The 21,247-nt window shown below is 48.2% G+C and overlaps 1 annotated feature.

Moving 5' to 3' along the window:
• Positions 10,879 to 11,380: an enhancer, noted in NCBI's record as "H3K4me1 hESC enhancer chr10:71516819-71517320 (GRCh37/hg19 assembly coordinates)". NCBI's record gives its function as "activates a minimal SCP1, AML or CMV promoter by ChIP-STARR-seq in naive H9 embryonic stem cells {active_cell/tissue: H9 hESC(naive)}" and the evidence as "EXISTENCE:reporter gene assay evidence [ECO:0000049][PMID:30033119]".

The raw sequence follows: 21,247 nt of genomic DNA on the forward strand, positions 1-21,247 counted from the left end.
CTAAGGGGTGACTACTGTATAAGTAGATGTAATATAATCCCAAGTCAGGATTCCTTTGTACTTTAAGTAACTAAACAGCCAACCTACTATAGCATAAACGAAGAGGCATTTATTTTTCTCAAATAACATGGAGTCCAGAAGTAGCAATGGCTAAATTTGGGTCAGCGGCTCTCTCATATATCTGTGATTCTCTGGCTTTTCTCTTGTGCTCATTGCTACATAGTCGTGAAATGGCTACTGCAACTTCAGACATCACATTTGTATCCAATGCGGAAGAAGGGTAAAGTGAAAGGGTTTTCTCTCTTTTTTTTTTTTTTGAGGTGGAGTCTCGCTCTGTTGCCCAGGCTGGAGTGCAGTGGCATGATCTCAGCTCACTGCAACCTCCGCCTCCCAGGTTCAAGTGATTCTCCTGCCTCAGCCTCCCAAGTAGCTGGGACTACAGGCGCCCGCCACCACACCCAGCTAATTTTTTGTATTTTTAGTAGAGACGGAGTTTCACCATGTTAGCCAAGATGGTCTCCATCTCCTGACCTCGTGATCCAGCTGCCTTGGCCTCCCAAAGTGTTGGGATTACAGGCGTGAGCCACCACGCCCGGCCCAGGGTTTTCTCTTTACAAAGCTTTAGGTCTTGGGTGAGGGAAGCCCTTCCCAGAGAATTCTCCTTACATCTCATTAGCAAGAACTGGGTCATCAGCCAACCTTTGGACCATTCTGTTAAAGGGGGGAGATTATCAAAATTCATTTACATCAGTCGTGATTCATTCTCTAGAAATTAGAAGAGGGACCTACCCTTCCCTATAGCAAGAGAGTTCTGCCCACTACTTGAATATCAGTTTCTGTTAGCATGGAAGAAAAGGGTGCCCTGGCTGTTGGGTGGGTAAGGGATAGTGTCTGCCACAGATACAATTTATGTGGAAAAGAAAACACACCCATGTGTACAACATTACCTATTTTTTTTATCAAGTACATACAAAGGTTATCACAGAAGGAGGCGGTGGCAGTGAAGAGGTGGGAGTGGGGAAAGGGCTTGCGTGTGGTGCTCAAAGGGCCTTTGGTTTTATCAGCGATTCTTTCATTTTTAAAAGGGAGGCTGTATTCATGTATCACTTGGGTAACTAAAAGTCAGTTTCTAAAAGTTCTGTCAGTGACTGGCTTTGGCATCCCCAGATTTGGCCCAATCCCAACAGAGCCCAACACTGCAGAAGCAAAGACTTGGTACTCCAAAAAGTTCAACTGGGTAGGGGAGCCTGGAGAGGAAGGAGGAAATTGCCTGAATGACTCTTGGCTCTACGAAAAAAGTTGGGAGCCAATCATGCAAGGCTGAGCAGTCCTTTCGGGACTGTCTTTGACAGACAGAAAGTCAGCCCGCCAGTATTTCCTTGCAAATTCTCAGGCCTCCTTCTGGGATTTTCCCTTGTTCTTCAAACAGAAACTGCAGTCTCTGATTAAACCACCTGTCAACTACCCACAAATGCAGCTGGTGTCCTTAAAACTGCTTACAAGGCACTCAGGGGTGCAAGGGGTGGCCAGGGGTGCAAGGGGTGGCCGGGATTGATGGGGCACTGGCTGCACAGGCTCAGCAGAGCCATGAAAGAGCTCCCTGGGGCACTTGGAGTCACTGGGGCCACCTGGATGTGGGGAGATCCATGCCAGACAAAGCACAGTGCAGTCCGCTCATTGCCACAATCCAGCCTTGTGCTTCCTATTACCCCATCTTACAGGTCAGGAAACAGAGGTTCAGGGAAGGGGATTGCCCAAGTGCACACAGCATGGAGGCTCTCAGAGTAGCTGCCAGCCCATAGGGCAGCGCTTCCTGGGAAAGCTGGAAAGGGAAATGAGAGAACCAGAGGGTAGTGGAGTTCTTGGGGATCAGCCCCTCCAAAGCCCACTTCTGTCGCTTCCTCCTTATGACCACAGCACCTAACTGCTATCCCAAGCCCAAGGTCCTGCCGGAAAGATTTAACATCTAAGAAGGTCCTTGGAAATCAATGAATCTGGTGTGGATTTCCAGGAATGGATGGATAGAAACCAGCTTTAAAAAATGAAATTAATAAACTAGAAAATATCAGAATGTACTGCATATAGTCAAGGTCCATATCATTTTGTGAAATTTGTGTATCTATGTTTGTACCCAGTCAGTGGCGAAGGTGTTTCTCACTGTGAATTGCAGCACGCCCCATCCCACCAAAAAAAGGAAAGACACTGATTTGGTCTGTGTGCTTCATTTCACAGATGGGAAGACTGAGGCCTAGGCATGCGTATGGCTTGCACAGGGCCATGCAATCCTCTGGGGACAGAGCCCCAGGCACCTGAGGCCCGAAGTGGCTTCAAGCTGCTTCCCTGGTTATTGGGCTCCAGGCCTCACACATGCCCTGAAGGGTGCAGGGGTTACAGAAGCTCTTCCTGCCCCGTTTCCACGTGGGAGCTGCTTATTTACCCAGCCCTGCTCCTGGGTCCCCAGTTAGGTGAGTCCTGTTCATTTGCAGCTCCTGCTAAACACTCTTGCTATGGTGAACACTTGGCTGAAGTTCCTCACTGTTCTGTGAGGCCTGCAGCTCCCTCTCCTTACCCCATTCCACATACTTGGCTCACCCTGAAGCAACTCTCTTTCTTTCTTGGTCTTCTCAGAGTGGCTGGGTGTGGCCTGGCGCTGGCTGGTAAAGCCCTTGGCTAACAGGAACCAGGCCCTGTGTTTCCAGTAGGAGGGCATCTGCTGAGGCTGGCTCAGGACCCAGTAACCTGAGTTCTATGCCTACTGTGCCTCCACCACACTCTGTGACATTAGACAAGTCACAACATCTCTAAGCCTCTGTTTACCTTTCTGTAAAATAACTTAATATTCTCCACCCAACACCCCTCACTGCAAGGATCAGATGAAATCAGCTGTGATGTAAAAGTCTACTGTCTTGGACATCAGCGTTTTCACCTGACCAGCATCCGTTCTTTCCCGTTCTCCTTTTCTGCTCATGGTCCCCAGTTTTCCTTTGGGGAACCACTTCTCTCAAAGTCAGTCCCTGAAGTGGCTGTGGCTGGCCCCCCACCCCTCCATTCCCCAGAGTCACATACTCGGCCCATGCTTGGCAAATCAGCATTCTCTACCCTTCCGACCTGAGGAGCACACTAAACAAATCAGACAGACAAGACTGAGTCATGGGACTGCTGCCGGCACTGCTACTGGGGCTGCTGAGTTGACGGATGAGCTTGGAGCCTCGGAAGCTATCATTTGGAGAGCAGGCTTGCTACAAACGGGGTGCAGGAGACGAGGGAGTGGGAGGCTCGGACCTTGCCTGGGCCTCTCCATCTAGATGGACCTAAAGCAACCTCTACTCCCAGACTTTTCAGCCTCTCAAAGCCAGTGAATTCTCCTCATGGTGTCAGCCAGTTGGGAATGAGTTTCTTTCATTGGCAGTTGGGAATCCTGACTCATTCAGTGGCCAAAACATAAAAAGTGCTAAAGAAAAAAAAAAGGAGAACTTCTCCCTTTTGGGCCTCTTTGGCCCCCCCTGGTCTGCAGACAGCCTCCCTGCCTTTCTGGTCGGGGGTCGGGGGGTCGGGGGGCACCCTCCATGCTGTGCACCTCGTTAGACCCTCTGCATTCACTGGCTGGGGAAGGGCCAGCGCACCTCTCCCATGAACCTGTTCCAGACAGACTGGAAGGGAAGAGGGCCGTCAGCCGGCCATCATTGGTTTGGACACTGATTTCCTAAGTGTAGGACTCCAACCTACCCAGTTCTGCCTCATCCTGCCGTAGGTGATCCATTCTTTCTGTGGGAAGCCCACCAGTTCTGCAGTCCACTTTGACCATCTCACATGCAGCGTCCACACACTGCCTCAGAAATTCCTCACACTCACCAAGCTCCCCAAGTCTGTGTCTGCTCTGGTCCTGCCCCCTCCTCTCTGCTTCTTTCCCCGCCTCCTTGACCTCCTCTCGTCTCCCTCTGTGGGGTCTGTCCCTCCCTGCTTCCTGCCTGGCCCCATCTTGGCAGCCTCTGCTCTGGCTTTCGAAGGCCTGTCAGCGCATTCTGCGTGGCATCCTCGCCAGTGCAGGCAAGGAGAGCCTCATGTTCCATTCCGGCTGCTGGGACCGCCTGTTTGTGGAGACACCCTCTCCCGTCCCCTCCTGACAGGTGATGGCAATTAGTCATCCTGATCTTTCACACTGGATTCAACTACTGATCCCAGTGTGGACTGTGCTCCAGGCTGGGAGGTGATATCCTAAACACCTCCTCTCCTGTGGGACAGGGGGACATCTTCAAGGCTCGTCCTGAGATGGGCACAGGTTATGATCTCACAATCTGTGGCCAGCCAGCATCAGCTTGAGACACAGTCATGTGTAGGATTGCCAAACTGTTGTCCATCTGAAATTAAAATTGAACTGGCATCAAGTTATTTTTTGTTTTGACTAAGTCTGGCAACCCTGGTCAGGAGGCTAAAGCTGGTGAGGTTGCAGTAAGTTGTAGAGGAGGACTCCTCACCCACAAACTCTAGAACAGGTACCCATGGAGTTTTTACACCTGCAACACTTTTAAAAAGAGGATAGAAAGATGGATGTTCTGGAAGACAAATTATTGTCTATTTAGAGGTGGATGAGCTTCTAGGACTCTTCCAGCCCTGAGCCCGATAATTCCAGGCTCTCACATCTGTGTTTTGGGAATATGGCTGTATTTAAAGTACTGTGAACTCTGAGGTCTGCCCCAGGCCTTTTTTCTCTCAGGAGTCAAGCTCGGGATTTCACGGCTGTCTGTGAGAGCTACAGAAAGCAACTGGCAGTGACCCTAAATGCCAAAGGGCCTGGAGATTGATGAGGTGGAGGGAAGATCGCAACAGACTTTAGCAGGAAGGGAAATGAACTTTAAGATAAGTTTCTGCATATTGAATCCTAATTTTTCATTCACTTTCATTCATTCATTCATCTGGATGCCACTCCAGATTCCTCTGGAGGGGAAATTTTGACCTCCAAAATGTAAGATGTAATGAAATGACTTTAAAAAAAAATAGCTAAATTGCATATTTTAAGAGAAAATATTTTCCAAGGTGATAATGGTAATATTCAAAATAGATTTCCAAGCATAAACACAAAGCGATTACAAGTGTGTTTGGCCCAGAGTTTCAAAACATCCAGTGACAGCTTAATTGAGCAGAACACTAGGCTCATAAACCTCTTTTTCTCAGTTTCCTACAGCAGCAGACATCGCTGCGTTTCTTGGCTGTGTGGGTTGCATTTCAGGGCACGCTGAGAGCTGCTGCCTCCATAGATGTCATCCAAGTTTCTCTAAGCAAAGTCAGGTGGAGGTGTCAAATTAGCAGTCAGGCAGTGGGTCCACAGGCAGCACAGGTGATGGGGCAGGGGAGCAGCTCTGCAGACAGAGCTCATAAAGGGATGTGTGGCTGCAGGCAGGAAGGGAGAGGGGGGCTCAAGGAATATCCTATAGAAGGCAGATCTCTAGGTTTTGTATTTAGAACCAGCCTCTAGATGAACAATAACACAAAAGCACATTTCTGTTCATTGTGTTTCTACATTTGGGGTACATCTATAAACACGAAGACCAGAGCAGGAAGTTGTGGACATGGAAAAGAACTTTGCAGCACCTAGCAGTCCAGGCTCCATGAGGAAAAGAGAACTCCTTCAGGACTTACTATCGTGTGAGGAAAATCTGTGCATAGAGCCAACCTAGCCCGGGAGCCAAAGGAAGGCAGACAGAGTGAAGACAGGCAGCTTTGGCCATGGTTTTGCTATTTGCAAGTTTGGACCACAATGTGTTTCTGTTTCTCTTTCCCGCCCTCCCTGATTCCATCACCTCCAGTCTCCCCCATCTTTTCCACTTCACCCTTCTCAGTTTCCAGCAGTCAGAGGACGGGGTGTATCCTGGGCCGCACCATCCCTTGGCTCTGTCTGTGTGGCGTGTGTGGTGGGTGCAATGGGGGTGGGTTTGTGGCTCATGAGGATGAAAATTGTTCTTCACAGTTTGGAATGCTGGCCTCATGTGGGGGCTGCTAAGATTTATCTGGAAACAGTATACTGTGAAGATTTCTGGGGTTTTGACTTAGTGCGAGAGAAGGGTTCAGGTGGGGAATTGGAGGAGGTTTTTAGGCCTTTCTTCTCCCTGTGAAGAAAAGATCAATGAGCAAATGACACCCCCACCCCAGCAGAAAGAGGGAAATAGAAGGATCTGGTTCATGGCCAAACTCACAACTGAGTATATAGATGACGAGTGAAGGGTCAATTCGGAAGAATTCTGGGAGGGAGGAGGAGGGAGATAATGGGAGAGCTGGATGCTTCTGGAGAAAGGAGGGAGTCTGAGATTCTGGATGAGAAGCATGAAGGAGAGAAGACTGTTTCAGAGAGCAGGCGAGAGAAAGAGTGATTCCAGGAGAGAGTCAGGGAGGATGGACACAGGCTTTGGGAGAAAGGCAGTGCCATTGGAATGGCGGGGGAGAAGTGCTGCAGAAGGCTCGTGTTACCGGAAGAAGCAAAGCCTCCCTCTGACCCAGGACGCAATTGTGCTGCAGCCACGTGAGGCGGAGTCAGCCTGGTCCCCATGCCATGTGGCTCAGACCAGCTCTTCATTCATTCATTCATTCTTTCCTTTACTCATCAGAGTTCTCACTGTGTGCTGAGCCTTATGCTTCCTGCCCTCAGGAAGCTCCCTGGCTGGTGGGAGAGCCCAGCTTCAGTAAAAACTTCCCACAGTACAGAGTGGGGCAGTCTGGATGAACCAATCATCGTTCAAGAGCTGGCAAGAGAACCCAGGGTAGGCTCGGCCCTTGGAAAGTGGAGGACTGCCCAGCTAGTCTGTGGACTCCTTCCAGGTTTGGGTGAGCTGGCCTGGACTCTTACCCCCTGTATGGCCCACCTAAAGATTCAAGGTGGGTATTCTTGCCCACTTCAGGGGTCCCATCCTAGACACCAGGGCCCCTTTGTCCCTAGTTACCCAGGACTCCCCACCCCAGCCTCCTTTGTTCACAGTAGCATGTGCGCTCTGGGACTTCCCCTCTGTAGATCTTCCTTCCCTCAGTCTGCACAATCCTTCAGGTTTTTTTCTGATTCACTAGAAACTCACCTGAAACAGTCACTCCTCCTGAAGGCCGACAATGGATGAAACCTTCACGCCTGACCACTCTCAATCATCTTTGTTGTCATTGTCATCGTCATCATGATGTTTTGCTTTATAAGACTTCTTGGCCAGGTGCAATGGCTCACGCCTGTAATCCCAGCACTTTGGGAGGCCGAGGAGGGTGAATCACTTGAGGCCAGGAGTTCAAGACCAGCCTGGCCAACATGGTGAAATCCCATCTCTACTAAAAATACAAAAATTAGCTGGGCATGGTGGTGTGCACCTGTAATCTTGGTTACTCAGGAGGCTGAGGCAGGAGAAACCAGGAGGCAGAGGTTGAAGTGAGCCGAGATCATGCCACTGCATTCCAGCTTGGGTGACAGAGCAAGACTCTGTCTCAAAAAACAAAAACAAAAACAAAAAAACTTAATAACTTTAGTTTCAAACAACCCAATGAAGCAGATAAGCAGAGAATATTACTTCTATCTACAGGAGGGAAAAGCTGAGGCTCAGAGAGGTTAAAAGACTTGCCAACAGTCACACACTGGAGTGGAAAAGGCAGAGTTTGAACCTGCATCCAAAGCCCTTTCTGATCCATGATACAGGTGGTATGGCAGAACAGTGGGGAAAGTATAGCATTTTCTCTAAATGATGCAGGAATAACTAAGATTCATGAGTAGGGAAGGGGAATAAAATGTAATTTCTACCTTACACAGTAAACAAAACTACTCCAAGTGGCTTAAAAAGTTAAATGTCAAAAATAAAAATTTGCATTTTTAAATAAAAATATAAGTGAATATCTTTCTGATCTTGAAGAGTATGGAATGAATTTTAAAATAAGGCCTTAAAAGTACTAATGTTAAGATAAAAGACAGATTAAGTCAAGCACATTAAAACTAAGAATGTTCATCAAAAGACAGGCAACTGGTTATCTACATGCAAATAAATAATGTTGAACCCCGAACCCACACCAGATGCAGAAATTGACTCAATGAATCAAAGACCTAAAGAACTAAAACTATAAATTCCTAGAGGAAAACATAGGTGTAAATCTTTGCAACCTTGGATTAGACAATGGTTTCTTAGATGTGACTCCAAAAGCATAAGCAATAAAAGAAAAAAAAACCAGATAAATTGGACTTTATCAAAGTTAAAAAATTTGCGCTTCAAAGAACATCATCAAGAAAATAAAAAGACAACCCACAGTATGGGAGAAATTGTTTGTAAATCATACATCTGATAAAGATATATGATTATATTGTATAATATAATATATATTACATAGTCTAGATTGTATCTAGACTATAAAATAACCATTACAACTCAAAAATTAAAAAAGCCCTAAAAGATCTGAACACTTCTCAGGAAAAAAAAAACTACACAAACAGCCAACAAGTACATAAAAAGGTGCTCAATATCGTTGGCCTTCGAGAAAATGCAAATCAAAATCACAATATGTTACCACTTCACACCCACCAGGATGGCTATCATCAAAAAGACAGATAATAACGAGTATTAGCCAGGATGTGGAGAAATTGGAACCCTCCCATACACTTCTGGTGGGTATGTGAAATGATGAGGCCATTTTTGAAAACAGTCTGGAAAACACTCAAAGGGTTAAACACAGAGTTAATACATGATCCAGCAATTCCACTCCTGGGGATATACCAAAGAGAAATGAAAACATAGGTCCACACAAAACTTGTACAAAAATATATAAAGCAGCATTATTTGTCACAGCCCCAAAGTGGAAACAACCCAAATGCCCATCAATTGATGAATGGATAAACAAAATGTGGCTTATTATACAATATATTATTTGGCAATGGAGAAGAATGAAGAGTTAATATCTGCTACAACATGGATGAACTTTGAAGACATTATGCTGTGTGAAAGAAGCCAGTCATGAAAGACCACATATTGTATAATGTGATTTATATAAAAGGTCCAGAATTGGCAAATATATAGAAACACAAAGTAGGTTAGGGACTGCCAAGACCGGGGGGCGAGGACAGGTGGGTAGTGGGCTGGGGGCAATAGGGTATAGGGTTTCTTTCTGGGGTGATGAAAGTATTTTAAAGCTAATCACGGTGATGATTTCATAACTCTGTGAATACAGTAAATACCATTGAATTATACACTTTAAATGAGTGAATGGTGTGATATGTAAATTATAGCTCAATTTTAACTTTTTAGTTTCAGAAGACAGCTAAATAAAATAAAAACACAGATCACAAACCAGAGGGGACCCTTTCCAGTGGGGGGAAACATCAGATCCCATGACATTGAGTAGGGACGTGCCTTTGAGCAGATGACTTTAGAGGACTTCTAAACCACACCATTGGGTGGTACCTAGACCTGGCCTTTTCCTCTCAGGCCATTGGCAAGCTGCACCATGTTGAAAAAGTCTGGGGTTCATGGTATGCCCAATACCTTGGACTCACTTGTCCTTTCCTAGCAAAGGAGAGTCATTTCTAGGAAAGTGGAAGACCTTGATCAAATCAGCACAGAACAGGCCACTTCAGGTAGAGGTGAGAATCCAGCCAAAGGAGGCATTCAACTATGGGCAGAGTAACACCAATGGCTTGTTGGGTTGGCTTAGCTGATGCTTCAGAATCCTTCTCCTAAGCTTGGATCCTAGGAATACAATTACATTTTGCTCTGAGGCATGTCTTGCTGACACTGGAATGATTCCATTCTCAGCACCCAATAACTTGCCCACATACACATACTCCATCCTACCCCAAGAGAGAAGAGCCGAGTCATATGATGGGGCTTGGAAGTCAAAAGCAGGATGACAAGGGAGAGTAAACCCCTCACCAGGCTCCTCAGGGTCTAGCTGTGCCTTCCAAAACCTGTTATGGGAACGTGTGACCCCTGAATCCATCAGTGGACAGGTTAAGTCAGCCCTGCAAATACATCCAACAGGCTCGAAGCCAGAGACCAGGGCACCAGATCACATTGTCCTAAAGGCCCTGGAGAGTAAAGATGGGCATTCTTCCCCCAGAGGGGAAAGGCTGAGCAAAGGGCATTGCTGTCCCTCTCCCAGACTCATGCCTATTGTGTCCCTCTTCTCTGCCTCTCTCATCCTAGTTACCCTGACATAGGCCCGTCTGGAGCAAAAGCCCACACCCTAGCTTGCAGCTGCTGGGCCAAGCTGGCAACTTGGGCATTCTGTGACCAACTCCCTGGATGCTTTCTCAAAGTATGCCCCCTATCTATCTATCTATCTATCTATCTATCTATCTATCTATCTATCTATCTATCTTCATCTATCTATTATGTATCTATCATCTGCCTTTCTATTACCTATCATTTATCTATCAACAATCTATCTATTACCTATCATCTATCTTTCTGTTATTTGTCTACTAGTATCCTCTAATATCTACCTATCTATCTTATAAAGCTGGCCCAAGCAGGGGGAAAGATTCACCATGACAAAACAACATAGAGTAAAACCTGAGTATTCCTTCTCTGTTGAATTGGGCTTATTTCCTTCTAGGCTTTTCACTTAGCATATGCAGACACATCTAATATCCATCTATACATCTACTTTCTTTTAAAGATGGTGTCACTTTTTCAGAGAGGGTCGTTTGTTTCTTTGCTTGCATTCACTGAATGGTCAGTAGACACTGCTCTGTGGGATGGTGAAACCCGGGCCTGCAGACTTAACCTAGGGAGTAAGGGAGAAGAGGCAGGCCTGGGGAGCAGGCCCAGACCTTACACATTCTGTTGCTAACAAGGTTTGCTTTGCTTCCCCTGTCTGGTCTCAAGGAGACTCACCTCAGGGTGAGGGGAATGCCCAGTTCATTTCCAGAAGCTCTTCCAGCTTTGGCTCCTCTGAAGTAGCTACTATTATATAATCTATACATTAGAGTAAACTTACTGTAAATTAGCCATTTAACTCCCACATGCTTATGAGTGTGTGCTGGTCCACTCCCATTTTGAAGATAGGAAACTCAGGCACAGTGAATTGGATGACTTCAAAGTCATACAGGAGTGCAAGACACCATCAGGGCCGGAACTTGGGTCAGAGTAGCCCATGCATTTAGCCACCATGCCGCCATCAGCTCCTGATCACCAGAGCACAAGTCAGTGGCCCTGAGTAGGCACAGGCCAGAATGCAGAAGACAGGCTGTGCTTGGGCCGGTAAGAACCTCAGCCAGGGTCACCAGCTCCTATTCTACACAGTAAAGCAAGCCAGATATGTCCTCCCAGAGAGAGCCTGGCCTGACCCCGAGTGTCTGTGTAGCTAGTGGGCAGCCCAACAGCTACGCTCCCTGTGCTGGGGAGAGGGCAGGCACAGGGCCCAGGCTCAGCTGCCCTCTGGGGCAGCATAGGTGCTTTCAATTCATTCAACACAGCGTCTGAGCCTCCTGGAGTTTCCCACAGGGAGTGAAGGTCTGGCTGAGCCAGGCTGCCCAGCCTCTAGAAAGAGACTCAAAGACAACCCTCCTGTGGCTCAGAGGCTCAGAGGAGGGTTCATTCCAGGAAGGAGTCCGTCTACCCAGGAGACTCCAGGTCAGGATCCAGCTGCCTCTGCTGAAAAAGCACCCCTCCCCTGAGACAGCCATCCCACACAGACCAGCGTGGCCTAGTGAACTCACCCTGGATCCATGTCCTGAATTATTTATTTACACCCCCGCCACCCCAGTTATCCATATCATCTGGCTGGCCTCAGGCCAAGTCGCTTTCCTCCTGGTCTTGTCTGCGGTGACAGGACAGGGAGAGGACACATCCACAGCGGGACTGGGGAGCCTCAGCCTAGGCTTTCAGTCTTCTTCCTCTTCCTCCACCGCCACCAGCACCCCTGTCTGCCTGCAATTGAACCCAGATGCCAGGAAATATCTTGGTTGTATGGCTGAAGTGAAAACACATGGGTAGGATGAAAATCCTTCTCTGTTACAGCTTCATTACTGCCATCCCCGGAAACTTGCAGATGCAGAGGGAGACTTCTGAGCCCAGTGTCTGGCACTGTGTGTGCAGGAAGTGCAGCCTGGACCAGCCATGGGCAGTATGCACACGGCCTGCTGGCTGCTGGCACACAGCCAAGTTCAACTAGCTTGTGGGAGAGCAGGGGGAGGGACAGAAGCTCCTCCAGCCTCAGATCCCTATTTTTCATGGCCATTCAAAAAAACTTAGGATCCCAGATACCAGTACTGGCCCTGACACTCACTGGCTGTGTGACTTCAGGTAAGTCACATCACTTCTCTGAGCCTCATCTGTAAAGTGGCGATAAAATGCCTTCTTCTTGGAGTTGCTGCAGTGTAGCAAAGGTACTTTTGGGAGGGGAAAACCAGTCTGAGGGTATAAGGGAGTTACAAAGCAAAGCCACAGTCCCTAGCCCACAATACCAAAGCCCTCAAAGCTCTGAGAACCAAAGCTTTTTGTAACTCAGTTGGCAGCAAAACCTGAGCTAAACTGACATGAAGCTATTTATTGCATGTAATTATCCCCCTTGGTGTAAATATTCATGTTTTGCTGCAAAAATATTACAATGTTTGATGAGACCTTGGTAGGGGAGGGATGTGTTTCTCTACAGCACATCTCGATTTCTAAAGTTCTGAAAGCTAAAACACATCCAGCCACGAGGGTTTAAATAGGGAGCTGATAACCTGTTCTTGGAAATGAAGGGAAATCTATTTGTTGTTTTAGGAGGTTAAGAAAAGTAGAATGTCTAGAGTTGGGCCAGATTTGAAGCCTTTCTTAAAAGCCACCACCCTGTCCTGCTCACATGTCAGCTGGGATCAACTCAGGAATAATTAATAGCACCATTTATCAAGCACTGACTGTGCATCAGATGTTGTGATGATGCTTCATAATTATTGTTTGTTGTGATCTCACAACAGCCCTGGGAGGTGTTTCTATGATTTTTCTTTTGAGACAGAGTCTTACTCTGTCATTCAAGCTGGAGTGCAGTGGCACGATCTCGGCCCATTGCAACATTCACCTCCCAGGTTCAAGGGATTCTCGTGCCTCAGCCTCCTGAGTAGCTGGGATTACAGGCATGCCCCATTTTGTACATTTTTTGTAGAGACGGGGTTTCACCATGTTGCCCAGGCTGGTCTTGAACTCCTGAGCTCAAGTGATCCACCCACCTCAGCCTCCCAAAGTGCTGGGATTACGGGCATGAGCCACTGTTTCCGGCCTCTGTGATCTTGTTCTACAGATGGGGAAATGGAGGCTCAGGAAGGAAAGTGACTTGCTTATGCCTGCGAAGCTGGTAAGAGGCAGATTCAAACCTTGTCTGACTGACTCTGGGGGACTTCAAGCTGGTAAAACAGTGGAGCAAGGAAGGCGGTCTCTTTGGGACAGGGGAGGACACCCCATCCAGATCACAGTGGAGGGTTCCTCTGTTAAGCCCGAACCTCCGCCACCTTCCATCACATGTCTGCCCCTTTCTCTCCTCCTACAGGGACCACCACCCCTAATTATGCCTGAGACTTACCTCCTTTTCCCCTCTGTGGGATTATGTGCTCCCAGACTCCCCCTGCTCCCACCCTGTTGGCTACAATTTTGAATGAGCTCATCCACAAAACAGGCCTCTTAACTTCGCAAGACTCTTGCACAGACCACACAAGGTCATGGATGTCAGTGGGCCCGTTAAGCACGGGGTGCCACGGACCACTGCAGGGGGATTAGGCAACTGCCCTGGGGAAGCAACAGGAGACGCACCAGAGGGGTCTCCCAAGGGCTCAGGCTGACCCCTGGACCATCTCCTCAGCAAAATCCATCTTTGTGACCTCCTGCCTCCTCTCCACTGACAGCCACCTGAGCCCGGGTTGGATTTGTTTTTTAACTACACAAGTGAATCATGAACACATTCTCATTAGAAAAAAAATACACAAGTACACAGAGTGAACAGTGAAAATTCGACTTTACCTCTGCCCTTTCAAGCCTATTCCCTCCCTGGGGTAACTACTGTTTACAACTGAGTATGTATCATTGCAGTCCATTTTCTTGGCGTTTATTTACGCACATATATCATTTGGATTTGTTTTGGGCGTTTTATATACACACCTCACATAGTGTTCTGCAGCTTGCTGTTTTCTGCTTACCATATGTCTTGGAAGTCTTCCCTCTTCAGTTCATATAAGTCTGCCTCATTCATTTTAATGGCTGCCTCCTAGCCGCCTGTGGATGCATGTGGGCTTATATCACCATTCCCCCACTGGTGAACACACAGCTCATCCATAAGTGAACATCTGGGTGTCTCTGTCATCATGGCCATAGGTCGTCTGCAAAGAACATCTCTTATGTGGACTGAGTGCCTGCTGGTGATTACTTTCTGGAAGAGGAGCGGCTGCATCAAAGAGGGTGACATTTTTCAATTGTGGCTAGCTTTGCCAAATTGCTCTCTAAAAGGCTGAATTAACTTAGGTCTCACTAATTGCACATCAGAGTTTGGGGCAGCAGTTCTGCCAGTTGACTGGGTCCAGAGCTTCCTGGTAGGTTGCTGTGAGATGGCTGGGACCCACTTCCCTGCGGAGAAGTCAGCTGGGGCTGTGGAATGAGCAGGCCCCTCTGCAGCAGTGTGTTGGGTGGGGATGACTGTTGCTTGTACATGGATCATAGAAGTGGCAATCAATACAGTGATTAGACAGAGTGGGTAAAAGCAGAGGATTTGGAGCCAAACAGATTTGTGTTTGCATCCTGGCTGCATCACCCATGAACCATCTCCAACAAATGTGACTTCTGTGAATCATTTTATCTGAAAAAGCAGAGCAGCAATGACCACATCAGAGCTATTGTAAGGCACAGAGCTATTGTAAGGTTTAACCATGATGATATACGAAAAGCACTTAGTATAGTCCCTGCATATAGTAAATGGGAGTACATGGAAATTGACATTTTTATTATGATTATCATTATAATTATTGTGAATATAATGGTGATGATTGTTAATATCCTGATGATTGTTAATTCCAGAAATACAGGTCCCTTTCCTCTTGGTGGGGGGATCCTCTCATCCCCCACCCATGTGAGCCCCTGAGCCCTGTGCAAGCCTGGGCGCCCTGTCAGTTGGTTGGTGGCTGTCTCAGTGCCTGCTGTGTGCAGAGGTCTGAGCCCACAGGGGATGGGTGATGGTACCCAGGAGGCAGGATGAGCTGTTCTGCCTTCCAGGCTAGAAGGGTAGACAGGACCCAACCGGATAAACACCAGTAAACAGAGGTGGGGTGTCTTACAAACAGAGGCTCATGCCAACGCAGCTTCTCCGAGATAAATACATCAGAGTCAACTCACTAGGTGGGAATGGAGGGAGTGGGTGGGTGCAGAGTGTAAGTGGGTTGAAGGTGGAGGCAGGAGAGAGTGAAGCCAGACAGAAAGGCAAAGTGAAGGGCAAAAGTGAGGTGGGGGGTCGGGGAGCAGCATAGAAGGTGGCCTGTGCTCCTGGCAGCAACTATGGAGGAGAGGAGGGTGCCCTGGACCAGCTGGCCACCAGAGTCCTCCATTCAATTCCCTGCTCTGCATCTTGCCAGCTGTTGGCCTTGGGGAAATCCTGCTTCTTTTCTGGGTCTTGGTTTGAGCATCTGTAAAACGGGCCGTGCAGGGGCTGGTTCAACTTGAGTGCTCTATTCAGAGTCCTTTTCAGCCTGACGCATCTAGGAATTCCTGCCTCATAATAATATCTCTGCTCTGAGCACTCTCATCTTGAATTTGAGTCACTGTGGCCATCACCGTCACCCCTGCAAAGCGCCAGCATGCAACAGTCTACACACTATATTTCCATCTGTTTTCTCATCTGGTCTGCCCGACAGCCTTGGGTGCAGGTGGAGTTGAGATTCGAGTCTCATCTTACAGATGAGAGACCTGGAGCTCACAGAGGTGAGATGACTTCCTGGAGACTGGAACTGAGTAGAGGGGTAGCATCTTGCCCTGCCAGGTGCCATCCCAGCAACTACCAAGCTGAGGACCAAGTTGCAGATGGTAAGTCAGACTGAACCACTCAGTGTACCCACATATACCACCCATGGTTGCTGCTGAGCCTTGGTCACACGCTCCATGCCAGGCTCTTTGCCCATGTGGTCTTGTCTAATCCTCACAGCAACTCTGAGGCAGGTATGGTTGTAAAGTTACAGATGAGGCGGTAAGGCTCAGAGAGGCTGAGTAATTGCCCCAAATCACCCAGCCAGTGAGCAGCACAGCTGCCTTCCTAAGAGTCCCAAAGATTTACCCTTCCTTTGCTCCCACCTGGAGGGGGAGCTCATGCCCTCACTAACCCCTGAGAGACCCACTCATCATCTATTTCATTCCAACTCATCTTCAAGGCCCAGCTCCCTTGCCACCTCCAAGAAGCCCTCCCTGACCACTCTGGTGACTCCCAGGCATTCACCCTTCTCTTTCCCCTGCACTCACTTATGGGACCTTCCTGTCTGGATCTCCCTGGTGATCTTAATCACAAGGCGCTCGGGAGAAAGGGAATTCTCCTTTGTGGCCAGGGCTTGTCTTTCCAATGTGGGTTTACCTCTTTCTAAATAAATATTTTTCAATGCAATGGCAAAAGAAAAGTGTGTTTATTATAAAAATAAAAAGTGGGCCAGCCGCGGTGGCTCCATACCTGTAATCCCAACACTTTGGGAGGCCAAGGTGGGCAGATCACCTGAGATCAGGAGTTCAAGACCAGCCTGGCCAACATAGTGAAACCCCATCTCTACGAAAAATACAAAAATTAGCTGGGTGTGGTGGTGCATGCCTGTAATCTCAGCTACTCGGGAGGCTGAGGCAGAAGAATCGTTTGAACCTGGCAGGCGGAAGTTGTAGTGAGCCGAGATCAAGTCTGGCTGCACTCCAGTCTGGGCCACAGAGCAAGACTCCATCTCAAAAAAATAAATAAATAAATAAATAAATAAAAAATAAAAAGTGTACAGAACCACTAGGCTAGTGGTTTTCCTTTCTTTAACTCCACCATATAAGGTAGGACAATCATTCCACAAACCTGAAGTTCTGTCTTAGAGTGGGCTCCCCAAGAAGCCGCCTCTGAGATGAGAATTTGAGTGCAAGTCATGTATTCGTGAGGTTTATTTGAAATCATTGACTGGTAGTTGAGTGGGGAAGTGGGACGGGGAATGGAAGTTGCCCAACAAAGAGTGTGTTTCCAACAGGTGACCACTGCAGGCAACCGGGGCTCAATCTAACTGGGAGCTCTGGGAGGCAGCACAGAACACACACGTATGAGGAAAACAGTTTTTCCTTCTATATTCTCAGCACCTGTGATGCCAGATATCTGGGGTTTTTTTCCCCATACCAACCAGTTCTCCAACTTTCAGTACACCAGCTGAGTCTCGCAATTCAATTATGGCACTAGCTACCCAGAGTTAGTGCAGAGCCCATGGTTTAAGGGTTCAGTCCTACAAGATTTCCCCCCACTTCAGACGCCAATCGCAAGGTGGTCCTCAGGTAACCCGTACTTCTGTCCCACTTGGCTCCAAATCAGGGGTTCCTGTGACCCACTCCTTGGATTCCGTAATTTGCTATTGTGGCTCCCAGAGCCACTGTGACTCACAGAAAGTGTTCAGGGAAATGCATTTACACTTTATTATAAAGGATATAATAACAGTTACAGATGAATAGCCAAATGAAGGGATCCGTAGGGTGAGTTCCAGAAGAGTCCTGAGCACAGGAGCTTCTGTCCCCATGGATTTGGGGAGCACCACTCCCCTGGCACATGGATGTGTTCAGTATCTTGGAAGCTCTCCAAACCCCATACTTTAGGGATTTTTACAGAGACCTTATCACGTAGGCATGATATATGAACTCAACCTCCAGCCTCTCTCCCCTCCCAGGAGGAGGGAAGGTGGGCATGAAAGTTCCAAGATTCTGCTGGGCGCGGTGGCTCACGCCTGTAATCCCAGCACTTGGGGAGGCTGCAGCAGGCAGATCACGAGGTCAGGAGATCGAGACCATCCTGGCTAACATGGTGAAACCCCATCTCTACTAAAAATACAAAAATCAGCTGCACGTGGTGGCGGGTGCCTGTAGTCCCAGCTACTAGGGAGGCTGAGGCAGGAGAACGGCGTGAACCCAGGAGGCAGAGCTTGCGGTGAGCTGAGATCATGCCACTGCACTCCAGCCCGGGAGACAGAGTGAGACTCTGCCTCAAAAAAAAAAAAAAAAAAAAAAGAAAGTTCCAAGATCTAATCACAGCTGTGCCTTTCTGGTGACCACCCCCCATCCTGAAGTTATCCAGGAGCCCATCAAGAATGGCCTCATTGGAACAAAAATGCTTCTAGCCCCAGGAAATTCTGAAGGATTTAGGAGCTCTGTGTCAGGAACTGACACAGATTAGAATATTAGAATAAAATATTTTATTAGTATATTCTAATAAATATTAGAATAAAAGATGCTTCTAGATTATTAGAATAAAAAATGTTCCTAGCACCCCTATCACTTAAGAAATTACAAAGGTTTTAGGAGCTCTGTCCAGAAGCCCAAAATATATATTTCTTATTATTTCACAATTTCATAGCACGCCTCATAGTTATCTTTCCCAAGGGACAAGGGACCTGGGGTGTTTATCTGCCAATTCCCAACAGTCATGGTTTGAGGGTTACTTCTGTGGGGGAATTGATTCCCTGGCACTTCTGGGCTGCCACATGGGCAGGGCAGGCTCCAGCAGTCACAGAGAACCCTCAGGCAAAGAGACAAGTTGCTGGAAGCTCTGGGGAGCCGGACACCAGCAGCATCTGCCACAGGTACCTGTGTGTACCAGGCTCATGGAGACACAGCAGTGAGAAAAGTCGACCAGGTGTCCACACACAGGGAACTTGTAACCTAATGGGGTAAACAGATATTTATGAAACATGATGCAAGCCTATAATAACAGATATCATTATAAATGAGCCTAAGGAAATGTTTGTGGTTCTGGCGACAGATGGCCAGGATTGGACTCCCAAGTCTGCCTCTAGTTTAGAACAAGTTACTTAGCCTCTCTAGGGCTCAGTTTCCTCAACTGTAAAGTGGGAATTATAAATGTAGCAACATCTTAGGGTTGTTTTGAATTCATTTAAATTAATGCACATAAAACTTTCAGCACAAGGGGGTCACAGAGGACACCTGATGATTGCTAACTGGTGTTATGATCATCATGTTTCATGTAATTAGACTTCAAAGAGCAGTTTGGCCAAGTCTGGGCTGCAGGGGCTTCTATTGGCTTTTCATGGGGCCCCAATGCCACACAGCATAAGGAGACTGCTGGCCGGGCACGGTGGCTCACACCTGTAATCCAAGCACGTGGGGGGCCGAGGCGGGTGGATCAGCTGAGTCAGCAGTTTGAGACCAGCCTGACCAACATGGTGAAACCCAATCTCTACTAAAAATACAAAATATAGCCAGACGTGGTGGCGCACGCCTGTAATCCCAGCTACTTGGGAGGCTGAGGCAGGAGAATCACTTGAACTCGGAAGGTGGAGATTGCAGTGAGCTGAGATCACACCATTGCACTCCAGCCTGGGCAACAAGAGCGAAACTCCATCTCAAAAAAAAAAGAAACTGCTGAGGCCAGTAGGAGAATGGCTCTGTCATGGCACCCTGGTGGCCCTCCACACATCCACACAGGCAAAGGCTTCGATTTCAATTAACCTAAGATCAACAACAGCCATCATTTTTCTGGTACCTTATGCTGGGTTTGGTTGAGGCTTTACTCATTTAATCCTCACAATAACCCTATGAGGTAGGTATTTGCTTCAGAGGTTAAGTAACATGCACAGAAAGGTTAAATAAGTTGCTTAAGATCTCACAGTTCATAAAGGCAGAGCTTGGATTGAGCACCTAGGCCTAAGTGCTCAGCTGCTGATGGGAGGTAGGGGTGGGGAGAGGCATTCACAGACAGAAGTCTGGCTCATTGTGGCCTGGGCTGGTCCTGCATGGGTCCCGAGCTCTGCCCGGTGGTGGTGGGGAGAAGTATGCTCAGTGTCCTGGCCCTAACCTGGGCCCTTTCTATCAGCTCACAGGAAGGGAGGAAGAGCCAGGGCCTGAGCCCGCTTGGCCACACAGCCCTGCTCCTTGCTAACCCGGCTGACCCTAGATCCCAAGCCGAGAAAAGAAGGAGCTGCCCTCTCCTGGCCCCATCTGCCGGCGGCCCCTGGTTGTGGCCACTGGTGGTCTCTGGTGGCTGGGCTTGCTGCCGGCAGGCAGCTCACACAGCTGCTGTGCACAGCAGCCAGACTCCCCCAGCAGCTCCCCAGGGCCAAGAGAACGTTCCAGGACAGCTTGGAGTCATTAGGCACTCTCTGCTTACTGCTCGTGGTGAAAGGCCGGCTTCAGATCCAGGGCCTCTTCTGCTGCCCGCCTTTCTCTCAATCACTGGAATAGCTGGCAAACCCCCACAGCCCTGTGGGGAAGGGGGCAGGGATGATGTTCAGCTGTCCAACATTGCTCCCATCCCTAGCTTTGTTCCACTCTGCTCCCCCATGGCTTCTGCTCCCACTGTCCAGCTTGAGCCACTGTGGCCTTTGGAAGACAATGAAAGGAAGGCTGGGCTCCAGTGTTGAGTCTGCTGTGTGGCTTTGGGCAGGTCACATAACCTCTCTGGGTGTTTGTCATTGCTTGTCAGTGGGAACTTCTGGTCCCTGCTTTCCCTCCTCCTTTGTGGAGATGAGGAAAGCATGTGTGAAAAACATTGACATGGGAAAGCAGATGCTCACAGAGGCTGGAACACATGTTATCTGAGGGTTCAGGCCTTGGTCACCTCAGAGGACACTGAAGCACACGGCTGAACGGGTGTTCAGGAGCATCCACCTTATTTTAAAAGGAGGAACCTGAGGCCCAGCCACTAACTGAGAAATCTGGGGTTGGAAGCTGGCCTTCTTTCCACTGCCCCACCTTGTCATTTGATGAAAGTGATGAGGAGCATTTGCTTAGAGGGCATTGTGTGCTGGACAGTGTCTGCGAGCTTGCCATGGACTATGTCCACTAATTTTTATAATACGAGGAGGGGATTAGTGGCGTCCAGGCAGGAGGCCCTTTGGCAATGGTGGGCTGTGTTTACTTAAGTAGCAGTGTTTCCTAGGCCCAGGAAACCTAAGAGAAATCTGAAAAGATGATCTTTCAGGACTTGCTGTCCAGTTGGATAAGAGACAATATAGGGATGCTTTCTGGGACCCCAGGAGCACGCCTGCCTTCTGGGCCCAGTGTGGCTGTGATGGGGCATGAAGTGGGTGCTTCTCCCACACTCTCTTCTCAGCTTGTGC

This window comes from Homo sapiens, chromosome 10, assembly GCF_000001405.40.
Source record: "Homo sapiens chromosome 10, GRCh38.p14 Primary Assembly".
NCBI classification, from domain to species: Eukaryota; Metazoa; Chordata; class Mammalia; order Primates; family Hominidae; genus Homo; species Homo sapiens.